The sequence below is a fragment of the Homo sapiens genome, chromosome 3 (genome assembly GCF_000001405.40).
Source record: "Homo sapiens chromosome 3, GRCh38.p14 Primary Assembly".
Taxonomy (NCBI): Eukaryota; Metazoa; Chordata; class Mammalia; order Primates; family Hominidae; genus Homo; species Homo sapiens.
This window is the reverse complement of record NC_000003.12, coordinates 165,368,574-165,385,728: the sequence shown is the minus strand read 5'-3', so window position 1 is coordinate 165,385,728 and position 17,155 is coordinate 165,368,574. Positions and strand designations below refer to the sequence as shown.

The 17,155-nt window shown below is 32.0% G+C and overlaps 1 long non-coding RNA gene across 5 annotated transcripts in view; it reads right to left on the bottom strand.

The window, feature by feature from the left end:
- LINC01322 (long intergenic non-protein coding RNA 1322) overlaps positions 1–17,155 on the bottom strand; it is a 332,490-nt gene that overhangs the window by 153,709 nt on the left and 161,626 nt on the right. For 2 of the 5 annotated variants that reach the window (NR_174101.1, NR_174098.1), the window contains exon 3: positions 2,770–2,934. This is a non-coding gene — a long non-coding RNA (long intergenic non-protein coding RNA 1322). Of the gene's footprint in view, positions 1–2,769; positions 2,935–11,304; positions 11,471–17,155 lie in introns of all 5 variants that reach the window. The other 3 variants (NR_174100.1, NR_174099.1, NR_125764.2) reach the window with 2 other exon arrangements.

Genomic DNA, 17,155 nt, shown 5'->3' with positions numbered 1-17,155 from the left:
TTAGTCAACAACAAACTACATATATGACACCATAAAATGTCATATATGATACCATAATATAATACTATATTTTTCTGTACCATTTCTGTGTTTAGATATGATTAGATACACAAATACCTACCATTGTGTTACAGTTGTCTACAGTATCCATTATAGTAACATGCTGTATAGGTTTGTAGACTAGGAGTAATAAGCTATGCTATATAGCCTAGGTGTGTTGCAGGCTACAACATCTAAGTTTGTGTATGTAGACTCTATGGTGCCTGCATACCAAAATAATTTACCCATGCCTTTCTCAGAATGTACGCCTAACTGTAAACATTGAATGCCTGTACATCTTAGTCTGAAATACAGACAGCAAATGACACTCTAAGCATATAAGCACTTAAAGATATCACAATGGGAAATGGTGACCAGTGTGATAAATATAACTAAACTTTTAAAATATCTAACATTTTTTAAACATTACTAAAGGCAATAAACAGAAAAATATTTGTCACAAATATTACAGACAAATGCTTAACATTAATTTATAAACAAGGTCAAAAAAAATTGCAAAATTTATCTAATATACAATTAGGAAAAGGAGTATGAAATTTCAAAAGACAATTCACTGGGTAAAGAAATGACTGCTAAACATTTAAATATTCAATCACCTAATTCAAGAAAGGCTAATTTAAAGAATAATACATTATTTCTCCTGTTGATTTACCAAAGCTTAAAAAAAAAAAACTTTAACCATCATCAGACATGGAAAGAAGAGTCAACAGAAAAAAAGAATTAAAGATGATAGAAGAAAAGTAAATACTGACAATTACCTTTTTAGGAAAACAAAAAGGGGTTTGAGTGCTTTCTTTTCCACAAACATTGGGAAAGATGAAAAGATCTTCATGTAGAGATAGTGATCGATTAAAATGAGAAGGTGAAATGAGAAAGCCTGGGCCAAGTGTCTTGATTTTGGCTGAATGAAAGGCAAGATTAACAGCTAGAAGAAAGAAGGATAGGCCGGGCGCGGTGGCTCACCCCTGAAATCCCAGCACTTTGGGAGGCCGAAGCGGGCTGATCACGAGGTCAGGAGATCGTGACCATCCTGGCTAACATGGTGAAACCCCATCTCTACTAAAAATACCAAAAATTAGCCAGGCGTTTTGACGGGCGCCTGTAGTCCCAGCTACTCAGGAGGCTGAGGCAGGAGAATGGCCTGAACCCTGGAGGTAGAGCTTGCAGTGAGCCGAGATAGCGCCACTGCACTCCAGCCTGGGTGATTGGGTGACAGAGCGAGACTCCGTCTCAAAAAAAAAAAAAAAAAAAAAAAAAAAAGAAAGAAAGAAAGAAAGAAGGAAAGAAAGGATAATGAGAAATCAGAATAGGAAATACCCAGAGCAGTTAATAAAAGAATAAAAAAAAGGCTGCTAAAGAGCAGCAAGAATAAAACTTATACTAGGACTTTGTAAATTATGGTGAGCCAAGCCTGTTAGAGTGTAAGATTTTTTTCGTTTTTCCCCACTCCCATCACCAACCTCCCACCACTCCCACCAGGGGTTACTCTCTCAGCCTCCCACCAGCAGCCATTATGTCCATGTACTCATAGATGCAATGCTTAAGTGATTAGAATCCAATAGTGTATCAGGGAAGGGCATCAATAAAATAATTTATCCTGTAGTCCATGGTTGGAAGAGCCTACTGAAATGAAGAAAATGTGAATATTTGAAGAATAGATGTTTGAACCCTTGAAGGTTCTAGGAGAAATGAGAATGAAATAATTTCTAAAAGGAATAGTATAAATTGCAAATTACAGAGCTAGAAATTCTGAAGGCAAGGTGATTCATGTTACCTTCAGTTTTAGAGATGAACTTACTAAAACTTGAACTGATCTCTATTGCGTATATTTCCATCAGATCTGTGAGAGTTTGAAGTTCAAATATGCTGATATTTTTTATGGGCAAGTATATAAAACTCCAAAGGTCTATGCTTTGACCTATAGAACTACAGTGGGATGTCAAGGAACTGGTCAAGTTCAAAACTTTGCCTAGTTACGAGGCTAACCAATATCCCATTTCTTCTGGGGGCTTTCAGTGTGTTAGTATTCCCACAGTTGTTACGGACAGTTCCAAGTACAAACACTTCCCTGCCCTGCTTCCCCCTGCTTTCACTTTCCCAACCCGGATTACACACAGACTATCATTGAAATGACTCAACTTTTCTCAAATTACTCAAAGTCATTTGCCCATTTTTTACCCTTGCAGATTCACACTTTAATCTAGCTTTAACACTCTAAAAGGATATCCACCCACTGATCAATGGATCCTAAACTTGCCTTTGATCCCTAATAGTTGTGTGACCTTAGCGAAATAATTTTATTTTTCTGTACCTCAATTTTTGCCTCCAAAAATGAATACTGTACATGTATTTGAATAACCTATGTGCAGGTATACAATAGAGGCCTAATAAATATTAGTGTCCTTTCTCCTTTTCCATCTCATCAGATCTTCACTGCTCAAAACTTCCCAGATTTTCTCCCCTGGTTACCTCTCTCCAACTCTTCCCTCAGACATACACAAGTCTCTTTTCAGATCTCAAAACTCCTTTTCTGGCAGCCTCTTCCTTTCCCACAAGTTCCCCTTTGATCCTTCCCCATCATAAACATTTTCCCTTATTTCTTCTTTCCAGAGGTCAGAATCTGATCTCTATTGAAAGCAAATGCCAAATTTTTCCCAATTTCTTATTTTCTCTCCATTCTAAAAGATTGCCAGTTACTCCAGTACTCACCATGCCAGACTGTATTTGGGAGACACTTCATCAGGTCTAAAAGAGTTAGTACCTGTGGTTTCCTGTGGTTTGCTTTGGCTCTCAGGTGCTTAGAGGTAGGAACTGATAGAGGCTGAAAGAGCACATGGTGGTCATGATTTCACAGGAAGTCCTGCCGGTTTGTTGCTGTAAAATGGAGAAAACAGAAGTTCATAGTTTGAATGAATATGGATTACAATAGAGCAAGATACAGCCATAGAATTTTTAAAGACGAGCATTTAACTAACTTGGTGTGCAACTTTCGGGAATTTTAATTATTTATAAAGAAACCATTTCTCTATATAATGAAAAGATTTAAACATGCACATTCTAGACTAGTGCTGTGTAGTTGAAATATAATGTGAATTTCATATGTAATTTTAAATTTTTTAGTAGCCATATTGAAAAAAGTAAAATTAACTTCACTAATATATTTTAGTACAATATATAAAAAAAGTCATTTAATTAATCAAAAAGTTGAGATATTTTACATTATATTTCTTGTACCAAGTCTTCCAAATATGATGTATATTTTACACTTATAGTATATCTCATTTCTGACTAGCTATATTTTAATTGCTCAGTTGCTTCAGGTGGTTAGTGGCTACTCTAATGAATAGCACAGTTTTATACATTACAAAATAGAGTATTTAGCCAGGCACAGTGGTGCATGCCTGAAATCCCAGCTACAGGAGGCTAAGGAAGGATGATGACTTGCCAGTTTGAGGCGGTAGTGCACTATGATCACACCTGTGAAAAGCCACTGCACTCTAATCTGGGCAACATAGTGAGATCCCAACTCTTAAAAAAAAATAGCACATTTATATTTCTCTGAATACCTAAATTTCAGGAGCGATGATATAGATAGAATAAAAAATTCCTGTCTTCATGTTGATTAGAAACATAAAATCATAGTAGGCTGATAATAACCAGCCTCCTCCCCAAACCCCCAAAAAAGATATCCATACCCTAATTTCTGGAACCTGTGAATGTTATTTTATCTGACAACAAAAGATTATGTAGATGTGATTACATTAAAGATCTTGAGGTGGAGACATTATCAGGGATTAACAAAGTGGGCTCTAAATGGAATCACATGCGTCCTTATAAAAGGGAAGTAGAGGGATATTTTACAGCAGAGGAAGAAAATAAGAAGGTAATGTGATGACCAAAGCCATGACTAGAGTGACACAGATTTGAGCCAAGAAATGTCTGCAGCCATTAGAAGTTGAGAGAGGCAAGGAACAAAATCTCCCCTTGAGCCTCCAGAGAGAATATAGCCATCTTGATTTAAACCCAGTAGTACATACTTTGGACATATTTTGAGCATCCAAAACCATGAGAGAATATATTTCTGTTGTTTTAAACCACAAAGTTTGTGATAATTTGTTACAGCAGCAACAGGAAACTGATACACAAGTCATTTATAGTAATGACATTATATTTTCTCGTTTGTCATCAATGTGTAAACAAATGCCATTCATCCTATCTCTAGAAATTGCCAATAATGTGTTCAACAAATATTGATGCTAAAAATGCCTTACCAGATCTTTCATCTCAAGTGGTTGCATTGACTGCCCATATGCTGAAAAATTTAAAATTTATATTTCTATATTTCAGCACTCCCCTGCACTGCAAATTAGTGTTTTCAAATATCTCCTGTGCATTGCCACCTATATGTTCCACAGTCGTAAAAATAAATGCTCAACATTGCTAATCAACAGATAAAGGCAAATTAAAATCATGTTGAGAAATCAACTTACACCAGTTGGAATAGTCGTTATTAAAAAGACAAAAAATAACATGTCCCAGCCACGTGTGTCTGTCTTGTCCCATAGCCTGTGAGTTTCAAATTGCTAAGCCTCCACTTAAGTAAGGGCTATATAGAATGTAGGAAAGTATATGTACATGAAATATGTGTAAAAAATAGAGGCTGAAGATGATATTATGTATTTTATGCTGAATATTGACAACTAATTGTTTCATTGATTGCACATTCATTTTGCAATAAACTCTTTTTAGCAGCAATGAACCAAAAACATTTAATTCTGAAGAATAGGTGTTTAATAAAAAATTCAGTAATAACAATTGATAATGAACATATAACTTGCACAAAATATCTGTTGATATTTCTCATCTAACATATGTGGGGCCATAGAAATATTAAAAACCCCACAAAAGCTAGGTCATAAATCTTCAGAAAAAAATATCAGCATGAGTTTAACAATTAGTACTTTTAAAAAGGAAACCATGTCAGTATTAGTAGATTTTGGTTTAATTCATATAGTCATGGAAAACAGGTTTCAATGGAATGTGACTTTTCATTTAGATTAAATGACTACTCAAAATTATTGTTCTTCTTTTTCAATCTCAAGTTTTCTTGCATGCATGAAAACAGTATAGGGACAACTGTTTATGGAGTAGGGCTATTTCTGAAAAAACTTTGCAAACAGTTAAATGACGTGTGGTTCAAATTAGTCTCAACAGTTATTTCAAATAAAAAGTTTTATTAGCACAATAGTAGTTATATTTTCATGTAACTCATGGACACTAAAACTTTTAGAAGTTAATTTTTCAATGGTAAAACATCAGAGAATTATTGAATATTATTCTGAATAGTTGGAATTTCAACCTTGAAGACTAAAATGATATGTTTTAGGGAAATAAAAATATAAATGTTTGTGGATCAAAATTCATGATAGAGAATTAAGAAATACATGAAATATAAATATATTTGGAATTGGTTCTATTAAATCCCAACAAGTTGTAAGATTTTACCAGCCTAATATACCAAGCTATATACCACAGCTTCTATATAGACACACAAACACACATACACATTAAAATGAAGCTTCACACTTTCTCTCTTTGCTGCTTATCATCAATTAAATTATGGAAATAGTTTAACCTTTACTAAACAATCTTGTAAGCCAATCTAAGTGTCCTACCATGGTATTGAATTGTGTTGTGAATGGTTTTTCTAAATTTGTTATTTATTTATTTATTTATTTTTCTGGGCCTCGCATACCTATTTTTTATCCAGTTACATTTAAAAAACTTTTTTTATGTTGAAAATCTAATAAAATTACCCAAAATATCAACATTGACACAGAAAATTGAAATTATTGAAATTAAAAATTGGAAATAGAATAGTATTCCATGGTGTATGTGTAACACATTTTCTATATCCAGTCTGTCATTGATGGGTATTTTGGTTTATTCCATGTCTTTGTTATTGCGAATAGTGCTGCAATGAATATACACATGCATGTGTCTTTATAAAAGAGTAATTTATATTTCTATGAGTATATACTCAGTAGTGGGATTGTTGGGTCAAATGGTATTTCTGTTTTTAGGTCTTTGAGGAATTGCTACACTGTCTGCCACAATGGTTGAACTAATGTACACTGCCACCAACTGTGTAAAAGAGTTCCTTTTTTTTCACAACCTCACCAGCATTTGCAACTTTTTGACTTTTTAATAATAGCCATTCTGACTGGTGTGAGATGGTATCTCATTGTTGCTTTGATTTGCATTTTGAGGGTAGAGAGAGAAAGGAAGGAGAGGATAAGGAAAAATTACTAATGGGTACTATCCTTAATACATGGGTAATCAAATAATCTGTTTACAACAATCCTCCACGACACAATCTTACCTATGTAACAAACCTGTCCATCTACCCCTGAACTTAAAATAAAGGTTAAAAAAATGGCATTCATGTTTTATATTAATTGGAAAGGTATGGAATACACAGAATAAATTCTGAGGAAGTTAAATGGAAAAAAAAAAAAAGAATAGCACTTTTCTCTATTGTTATGAACTGAATGCTTACATTCCCCCAGAATTTATAGGTTGAAAACCTAACCCCCAATGCAATGCTATTAAAAGATATAGGCCTTTGGGAAGTGTTTAGGTCATGAGGGTGAAGTCCTCATGAATAGAGTTAGTGTTCTTATAAAATAAACTTCAGAGAGCTCTCTAGCATTCTTTGTCACGTGAGGATTCAATGAGTTGACAGTCTGTAACCTCATCAGAGCCCAAATATGCTGGCACTCTGATCTCAAACTCCCAGCCTCCAGAACTGTGAAAAATGCATTTATACATTTCTATTGTTTTTAACCCACTGTCCATTTTTTGTGATAGCAGACATCTGCAGAATTGACTAAAACGTCCACAGAAACAAACAAACAAAATTAGAAAATTTGATGATGAGAGTTCAGTGTACACAATTTATTTACATATTTATTTACTCATTTATTTTTTAGAGCCAGGGTCTTGCTCTGTCACCCAGGCTACAGTGTAGGGGTACAATCATATCTCACTGTAACCTCAAACTCCTAAGCTCAGGTGATTCTCCCACCCTCCCCACTCAGCCTCTGTAGTAGCAAGGATTCATAGGCATGTGCCGCCATGCCCAGCTAATTTGTGGTTGTTTGTTGTTGTTGGAGAGACAGGGTCTCACTATGTTGCCCCGCTAGTCAGGAACTCCTGGCTTCAAGCAGTCCTCCCTACTCAGCCTCCCAAAGCATTGGGATTACAAGTGTGAGACACTGTGCTGGCCCATAATTTACTTTTCAAAATCTACACTTGATCTACAGAACAACCTCTCTTCTGAGAGAAAGTTCTGAAGGTGCTTTTTTAAGAAATTGAATAAATTAATATTATTTACCCAAATGGAATGAAATTGAGCCCTTTGCTTTTTGTAGCATCTAAATTTGGCAAGACTTATAAAAGAACCATAGGATCACCTTATTTGATGGGTGTTGTTACATAAAAATATTTATTGAAGAAAGTTATTCTGAATAAAAGCAAAATGGCAGTGCCAGTTAAAATATGTAGACTGAAATTTTTAAATGTTTCAATAAAAAGATAGAATGAAGAATATAATTAATTTGGTAGAATTAACCCTGAGCTTACTGAAACCTTAGGAAAAATATAGAAGAATTTTCTCAATTAAAAATATATATTTTTGGCCTGCAGAACCGTAACAATAGAAACAATAGCATCAATAAACCATTTCAAATTTATTAGCCTTAAAGTGCAACTATGTAGGAAATTACGAGGAGCATCTGAACATACATTCTTTAGTGACTTGATTTTAGAGACAGATATGGCTAAGAAATTGCCAAAAGCATGTGAATATGAGTCAAATATAATCTTTCCACCTAAATTTTAAAGTAATTTTTAACATTTTGCTTTGCTTTGATATACACAGGTATACGTTTTTATTAGTATACATAATTTTATTTGTACAAAATTTTAAAAAATAGTTTTTGAATAAAAGATTTTTTATATGTTCAACAGCATAAAAATCAACAAAATCATTAATAGATAAATGTCAACATTACAAAGTTTGATTATTTTATAATCTACTTTCACCTTTATAAGTTTTCTGATTTGGACTAAAAAATGATACTATCTTCCTATCCAAACCTGAACTCATAGGACCATCTGGGGATCTTCCTTCTTACCTGTCCTGACTTCACATACAGTTGCTGACTATAGCCCACCAATTTTTTCAAAATAGTTTGTTCTTCATCTTTTCTTCACTGGTTTAGTGTAGGCCTTCATCATATCTTGTAAAAATCTGTGGTAACCTCCTAGTTCAATCCCTGTCTCTTCTCTACGAACACTCAATTCATTAGTCCTACTGCTATCATACACATTTTCAAAAAGGAAAATCAGATTTTGTTATCCAAAGGTATCGATTTCCTCAATCAGGGGTGTTTTATAACCATAGTCTAAATATCAAACACATTACATAAAATTGTAAAATATTTTATGATTTAATCTTTGCTTTTGCTTTTGTCTTCAACCATTTATCTTGTTCTTCTTCATTCATCTCTGGTCATATGTTCCTCCTCTTTGCCTTTGCACATGATTTTTCTCCTCCCCAGAGTAAACACTTGCCTAAAGTACTTGGAAATTCTCCTGTTAGATTTCAAGTGATATTAGTTAGTTCAAGTGATATTGTTTTCTCTGTGAAGACTTCCTTGTCCATATTGCAAAGCTGAAATTATAATTCTCTTTGTCCCACACTATATATAGTGTATGTATGTGTAATTATATGTGTGTGTAGTAGTAGTAGTCACTCTTATTACACTAGATTTTAAGTATTATTTTAAGTCTGCCTTGCCTTCTGGACTTTGAGACATTGAATGCTGACTTTTAGTTTTATCCACTGAAAATGGACAAATGCCTATTCCAAATAGACACTCAGAAAAAAAAGTCTTTGTTTCCTCAGTAGTTGGAAGGAAGAATGAATGACATATACACTGACTGTTCAAATTTATCTGTATTTCAGCATGTTATGTGTTTCTTGTGGATGTATAAACACACACAAAACCAATGCAAAATTTACATAAAATTAAAAAATGCAAAAAACTGAACTGATAATGATAAAGAATTCACACACTTTTTTTTTTTTTTTGCCAGATGTGTTTTTTTTTTTCTTTTGTTCTGCCTCCTAGATTTGGAAGTTTGCCCTCAACAATGTTGATCATTGAATCTGACAAGAACACCTGCATCTGGTGTATTTAGTTAGAAAATCTCCGGATTATTTAATAATCTAGTTTTATATTGGATTGTCATCACAAATGGCATAAACTTTACTGTATATCAAAAATATTTTGTATATTTAAATTGCAATTTACTTTGTATTAGTGTTGTTATAATAACTAGCAAATTTAATTTTTTTGTCAGTTTCTATAACTGATATAACTATATTACCTAAAACCTAATTTGGGGGATTAAATTTTAATATAAAGCATGAATTTACTTGTAATTGCCAAAAACCTTTTCTCTCATTTCCAATTGTCCATGAAATAGACTGTAAGCATCCAATAAATTACATAACAAATTATTTTTCTTGAATTAAACATGTACATTTTCCAAACCTATACTTTCTGTATCTTCTTCTGTTTGTCCAAGAAAACTATTTTACAATTATGGCAGGTACAAGTATAGATTTAAAACAGTCTTAATTATATTTGCTAATTGGTAGCATATTAATTCTTAATTCTACCTTCTAATCTCATAAATAGTAGGTTCAATTGTGTCTGTATGTCTGTGAGTGTGGGAGTTTTGGACTCATCCATGGCTGCATTAAATTTGATGATCATAAAAATGAAAATTGATATTGGTGAAAATGACAATGATGGTGACAGAAGTAATTGTTTTTTGATAAACAATATGATTTCATAGATACGTGTTATTAGGCTCACATTATTGATCAAAGAACTAAATTTAAGAGCAGTGACTTGACCACATGCATTCTACATGGATGAAGATGGACACAAACAAGTCAAATTTAATGTTGTTTTCATTATGTATGAATATAATTCATGAGTCTATTTGATTACATTGAACCTTACAAAACTGAATTTAGTAGACTGATAAGGTACCTTTTTCAGGATAATTTGTTTATGATTTTCAAGTAATATCTTGCATACAAACTCGTTTTTTAATGATAAAATAGAAAAATTTTGGCCAGGTGCGGTAGCTCATGCCTGTAATCCCAGCACTTTAGGAGGCTGAGGTGGGTGGATTACCTGAGGTCAGGCTGAGTTTGATACCAGCCTGGCCAACCCTGTCTCTACTAAAAATACAAGAATTAGCCAGGCGTGGTGGTGTGAGCCTGTAATCCCAGCTACTTGGGAGGCTGAGGCAGGAGAATCACTTAACCTGGGAGGAGGAGGTTGCAGTGAGCTGAGATCATACCACTGCACTCCAACCTGGGCAACAGAGTGAGACTTCATCTCAAAATAAATAAATAAATAAATAAGAAAAGAAAAGAAAAGAAAAAAATTCCAGCACCTTCAAATAGCAGATTTTCTCACTCTAAAATATAACGTAGTCTATTGAGCACTATTAATTAAGAGGACAATATACATCCAGAGAAGGAGATTATACGTATTACCAACTCTTCCAGATTTAGAAACACATGCTGCATTTCCAGGCACTTCGGCAAATTTGAACAATTTGAGATTCTAAGAAATATGAAAGCAAAGTTTTTTTTTGAACAGCAACATTAACCATGAGACCAGCATTTAAACAGAGAGAGCAGAGATCCAGGAATTGTGAACATATGGAGGAAATTATTTAAAACAGTAATTATCTTATTAGTTGTCTTGCAGAATGAACATTTAAAATGGAAATGTTCTCCAGTAAACGCTAAAATCAGGCCAGTCTGCTTCTACTAGAAAGAAAGAGATATATAAAATAGTCCAGAATATGAAAATTGTCCTTAATATTAAGAACTTGCAGCCAAAACTATTCCTTAAATTCATATTCCCCATTTTCATTTCTAAATGAGTTATAAAATCACATATAAGTTTTCTTTCAAATAATTTGCTTGAGAAACACATTGTGGTTGGTACAAGTGTCAACCCACTATTAATGACATCAAAATAGAAATACTGTGTCTAAAACCTGGACTTCATTTTACTGCATAAAGAGTTAATAGTTTTTCAGTGGAGAAACCAGTATCAATTGTATTATTAAATAATAATTACCTACCTGCCAGGTTACTGTGATTTTTGGCATCATTGGCATACAGCGATAGTTTGGCCAAATATTGTTTCTATTACTACCATTTCATTCCCAGAGGTACTCTTTGGCTTTCTAAATTGATCTGATATCCGTAGTGCTTCCAGGAATAAGGTTTAAAAATACAACAGTGATCCTGTGGATAGGTATATAGAAATGTGGGAATCCAAGTATACATTTTTTTCCATTTGGGAATTATAATACATTTTCTAGCTATTGTAAACTTTTCAAATATACATATTTGCTCTTGATGTAAACTTTAAAGCAAAGTATAGTCAAATGATAAAAGTTCAAAGCACTACAGCCATATTGCTAAAATTTTATGTATCTGAAAATTAGGTTTTTTAAAAAGCAGCTTTTAAAGTCTATTCCTTCACATTGTGTTAAATATAAATTTCATGGATTTATTACTCTGCATTTAATCTCCCTCATCTCTCCCTTAATTTAACTTGAAACTTCTGATTTTATGTCACTTTCCTATACTATAACCAGAATATTCATGTTGATGTTATCCCCAGTCTTTTATAGACTTTCTAACAAATGAGTTTTATAATTATTATCACTTTTTCTGACTGTATTATTTTCTATTAATATTTCCTCAATATTACTCTTCTCCATCAGGAGCTACTCGAAAGTATCAATTTTGTCTTTTTTCTTTTTGCTATTATTGTTTTATGGATTGTTGGCCTTGGTTACTTATCTGCCGTATACCAAATTTTCTCTTTAGCTTAACTTTGTGTCAATATAGTTATTTCTAATTTACCCAGAATTCTCAAAAACATATATATGTGTCTTATTTTGGGTGGGCTTTATTTTAAACAACTCTAAAAGAAAATTATGATATATGTTTTCCTCTTGTTACATTAATTCTCTTCTACTTTGGATACTGAGTGAATTTAGAACAGCATTTCTGAATGTTTTAATATACGTTGAAAGGCAGAAAAATTTTCAAGGACCAAATAACTTTATGAATCATTTGATTAAATATCATTAAATTGTGATCTTTACTGCAAAACCTTAAAGAATATTTTTCAGGCTAATGAACTTAATAAATCTCTAATATAATCTTCCAAACTCGTTTGCCAAATAATCTTTTCTTGTCCAAGAATCCTATAGATTAGCATTTATCCAAACCCAGTTTAGGAGGAATGTGGATTACATGTAAATCGCTTCAATATTATATTGTACATAATCTCTCTTTCTCTCTCTCTCTTTGTCTCTCTGTCTCGTTATCCTCCCATTCCAAAAGAAATACCTACTATGTTCCTATTATTCTTCCAGGGAGTGGGAATAGAGTGATAAAAAGAGTAGAAAAAGTCACTGCTCTTAATACAGTATATAGCTAGAGGAAATAAAAATAATATACAAGTAAAATAAATTCAAGTAGAGATGAGTACTATGCCCCAAACACCATATAATACAGTAGATAAAATAGAGAGAACTGAGGTAATTATTTAGATCTCAGGGTAATTCTCTCTGAGATGTCACTTGGGCTGAGACCTCAGTGAAAAAAGAAAGCCAGCCATGTGAAGATCAGAGTGCAGAGAGTGCCAAGAAAAGAAGAAAGCAGGCTCAAAATTCTAAGGATGGAAATAAGTTTAGTGTTTTCCAGGAATGTAGAGCATCAAGTGTGGTTAGAATAAAATCAGTGAGGAAAAAGAGATAGGCAGTGGAGAGTGAGGCAGTGACTACATCATGGGTAGACTGGTGTGGAGCTTTGATTTTATTCGAAGTGCAATGAGAAGCCATTGGAGGGTTTTGAGCAGAGGAATGACATGAATTTTAAAAGATCACATTGGCAGCTGTGTGAAGAATGTCTAATTAGGGGGAATAAAGTAGAAACAGACAAACCATTAAATAGACTATTGAATTTTCCCAGATGAGGGAAGATTTCTTGGGCATGAGTAGTAGCAAAGCAAATAAGAAGTATTTTGAAAAGAAATAACAGTATTTGCTGATGGATAGAATGTGGGTGCCGCGAGGAAGAGAATAAATGATAATTCCTAGGTGAGATTAAACAACAGAGTGAATGTGACACTGCTAATTAATATGAGAAAGACTGGAGGAGGAGGAGGATGGGTAATAATACAAGGATGAGAAGATAATTATGCTTTGAGACCCAACAGGAGAAATGAAATAAACACCTAGTTAAATAAATGTGACGCTAAGAAGAGACATAAAGCCTGGAGAGTGTTCACTAGAGATGATAGTACAAGTTATGGGACTGGATAGGTCACTTAGAGAGATACAGTTGACAGAAAGAAAAAGAAAACTCATGATCAAGCCCTGGGAAATACGTACATTTTGAAAATGTTAAGTTTATAAATTTTAAGCTTATAAATTTATAAATTATAGATTACAAATTATATAAATATAATTTATATAATTAAAATTATGTAATTTAATATAAATTATATATAAATGATATTGGTATATAATTTATATTTGTATAATTTATAAGTCATATTATATTAACTCACATTTGATATATTTATATATAATTTAAAACATAATATATAAATATATTATAAATATGTTATATTTTATATAATATAAATATTACATATAATATATAAATATATTAAAATATATTTCTGTGATTTATTATAAATTATATAAATTATAAATTTTAAATTATATAATTTATAAATTTATAGCAATTATAAATGTATAGCAATTTACAAATTATAAAGTTTTAAAAATTATTCTGTGTATTGAGCAATGGGCGTATTTCAAGATGCTTCAGTATCTTCAGAATTTACAGACCACAGTTCTGGGGAAATCCAAGTATAAAGCTACTAGATTAGACCCAAATTATCAGATACTGGAATCATATTCTCAATCAAAAAATATAACTCTGTGAAGGTAAAAATCTGGAGCCGTATCATTCAGAAGCAATAAAACTGTTACATTTTCTACCTCCTTATTTTCTCAAAAGAACTACAATTTAATTTTTGATATTATATTAAGGCATAACAAGTTGATTTTCTGAGAGGATAACTGAAAAATCATTAACACTGATTCAGACAGGGAAACTTTGAAAAGTCATTCAGATCATTACTAAGCAAAACTTTACATTAGGAGCTCTATTGGAACAGACACTTCATTTCCATAGGATCTAGAGACTTCTTTTAAAATGCTGTCACTATTGCAATGTATGTAATATTTGATAAATTCCACCTGAAGACATGTTTCAGCAATTAAAACAAACTGTATAGAAACCCAGTAAGTTTACAATAATAAAATTCATCTGCATAGAAATATCTATCATCTATTTTTCTATCACTTAGTATGTCCATTTATTATCTATAATCAATTAGCCAGTTTATGTTGTCCTCCAGATATAATCTATAAATACTTTTTTTATTTCTAGAAGAAAACGTATTTTCATTTTTCATTTCTACAAGGAAATATCCTACTAATGTTATTGCATTGTTCCCAAGACAACTGAAAAGCAAGAATAATGAAAGATTCTATTTAAATATCTGCTTAAATTAGGATAGCTCTTGAGAACACTGAAGATTGCATTATAAGAAAAAAAGAACATAAATATTTAGAGAGTCATTAAAAAATTAATTACTAGATGCATAACAGTATGTATTATGGTTATGGATATAAATATATTCTACTAATATGTTTTTACTAGGAAATAACTAGTGGGTTGTACGTCAGCAGTTCTCATTTTATAAAATGCATGTAATTACATTCTGACTTTAGCATACTATAGGTGGTGATAGACTACACAACCCATAGCTGTGAGGATTTACAAAGGAGGTCTGTATTTCTAAAGCCAGGGAGTGCTTCTAAATTGTGGCTATCTCTTACTTCCAGCCTAAATTTGCTTTAGATTAGTTAAACTCAGTTTTGACTATTCTTTTGAACAATGATGTAACATATTGGTGGTGAAGAATAGGGGAGTGGAGGAAAATAGTAATAAAACTAAAACTGAACAGAAAAGGTCTGAATCATTGCAGCAGGCAAAGGGGAAGGAAATAAGCTATCACCAACAATTGGCTGGATTTGGTATGAAAGCATGGAACATTTGAAAATTAGCTGCTGTAATAAAACAGAAATTTCCTGTAGAGTTTTAAAAAGACATAAAGAAATGCTTTTATAATTTCATCAACATTTTCAAATACACCTCGGCATCATTTACACATTTCCATTTTTTCTACTTTTGTCTTCTTTAATGAAATGCATAATTATTTATTATTAAATATTTCTTATAGCTCAATTATATTAAAAAGTACTGAAAAACTGTGTCATATCATTCTTAGTTATGAACCAAACATTAACGCTTGTGCTTATAATTTTAAAATATTCTACCTATATTTACTTTAGCATTTATAAACCAAGTGAAGTTAACACATTTCAAAGACTTTATTAGCCATAGCATCATCCAAAGTTACTTGTGGTTGTGAAGAATAATAAGTAATACTCCTGACCACAAACAGCTGGAAATTTAGTTTGGAAAACACATTAAAATTATATGGAAATGTAATCATTATATAAGAAGAATTATATTACTGTTCAAATAAATATTTTAAAATATCATTAATAAATAGCAAAACTATAAATATGTGAAAGCCACAAATCTTGACATATTTCACTCATGTAGAAATGTTAAGTGGGAATGAAAATTAAGTTTAGGTGGAAATATGGAAGGTATCTTTGTTTACCTCCAGAAATGTCAAAAGTTCTAATACTTTTGTTATCCCTGTTTATTGCTTTCTTTAATTATGAGGAATCATAGTGAAATACATGAAGAAAGAGTAAATTCTACTAAGAAAATGGTTTCAACAAATCCATTTTGAATTTAATTGATGGACGCTTCAAATCGATTACATTCGACAATTATGCATTTTGTGTCTACTATGTGCAAGGCAAAATGCTAGATATTTTTTGATAATGTTTTAAATATACTTTCTTATTTTACTAACTGATAGGATCAACCAAATATAGTCTATTCAAACCGTAAAAAATATTAGGCTGCCAGACCGACTTAATCCAGAAAGGTCACGTATTTGTTACTCCCTATGAAAACGTTCAGCCTACTTTGCATACCAAACAGCTCCAAATTGAAAAGACTTACTAATTCCATAGAAACTGGGTCAAAATGTGAATATAATATAAATTGAAGTTCACCATCATTTTTTATCAAGACATATAGACAGAATGGTTGCAATTTACAAATTAGGTACCTATTCTAAGGTGTAAGACATTTTATTGAAAAAAAACAAAAGTATGAAAATATTTAAACTTATATAAAAAGAATCATAATCTCACACTCCTAATTAATTTTACACTCTAGGACACTAAAACATATATGAACAATTCTTTTAAACAATTGAAATAATTATGTGTATGTTATTAAGAATATTTCTATTTCTTATGAATGTTTGTCTGTAGTCTTGCCCTGTCCAAAATGATAGCAGCTTGCTACATGTGGATATTGAGATTGGAAAAGTGACTCAACCAAATTGAAATGTGCTATAAGTGTAAATTATGCCAAAATTTCACAGACTTAGTACAAATCAAACAATAAAAGAATCTCTCATTGGTGTCATTTATATTGATTACATGTTGAAATAATATTCTCAACGTATTGCTTAAATAAAATATATTACTAAAATTAATCTTACCTCATTTATTTCCATTTTATTATGTGACTACCAAAAAAGTATAAATTACATATGTGGCTCAAATTATATTTTATTTGAACAATGTTGTACTATATGGTATTCACTTGTTACTTTTAATGAGCAAATAATATTCTTAAATGATAATTCATGGCAATATTACTTATTAACATTCTAATATT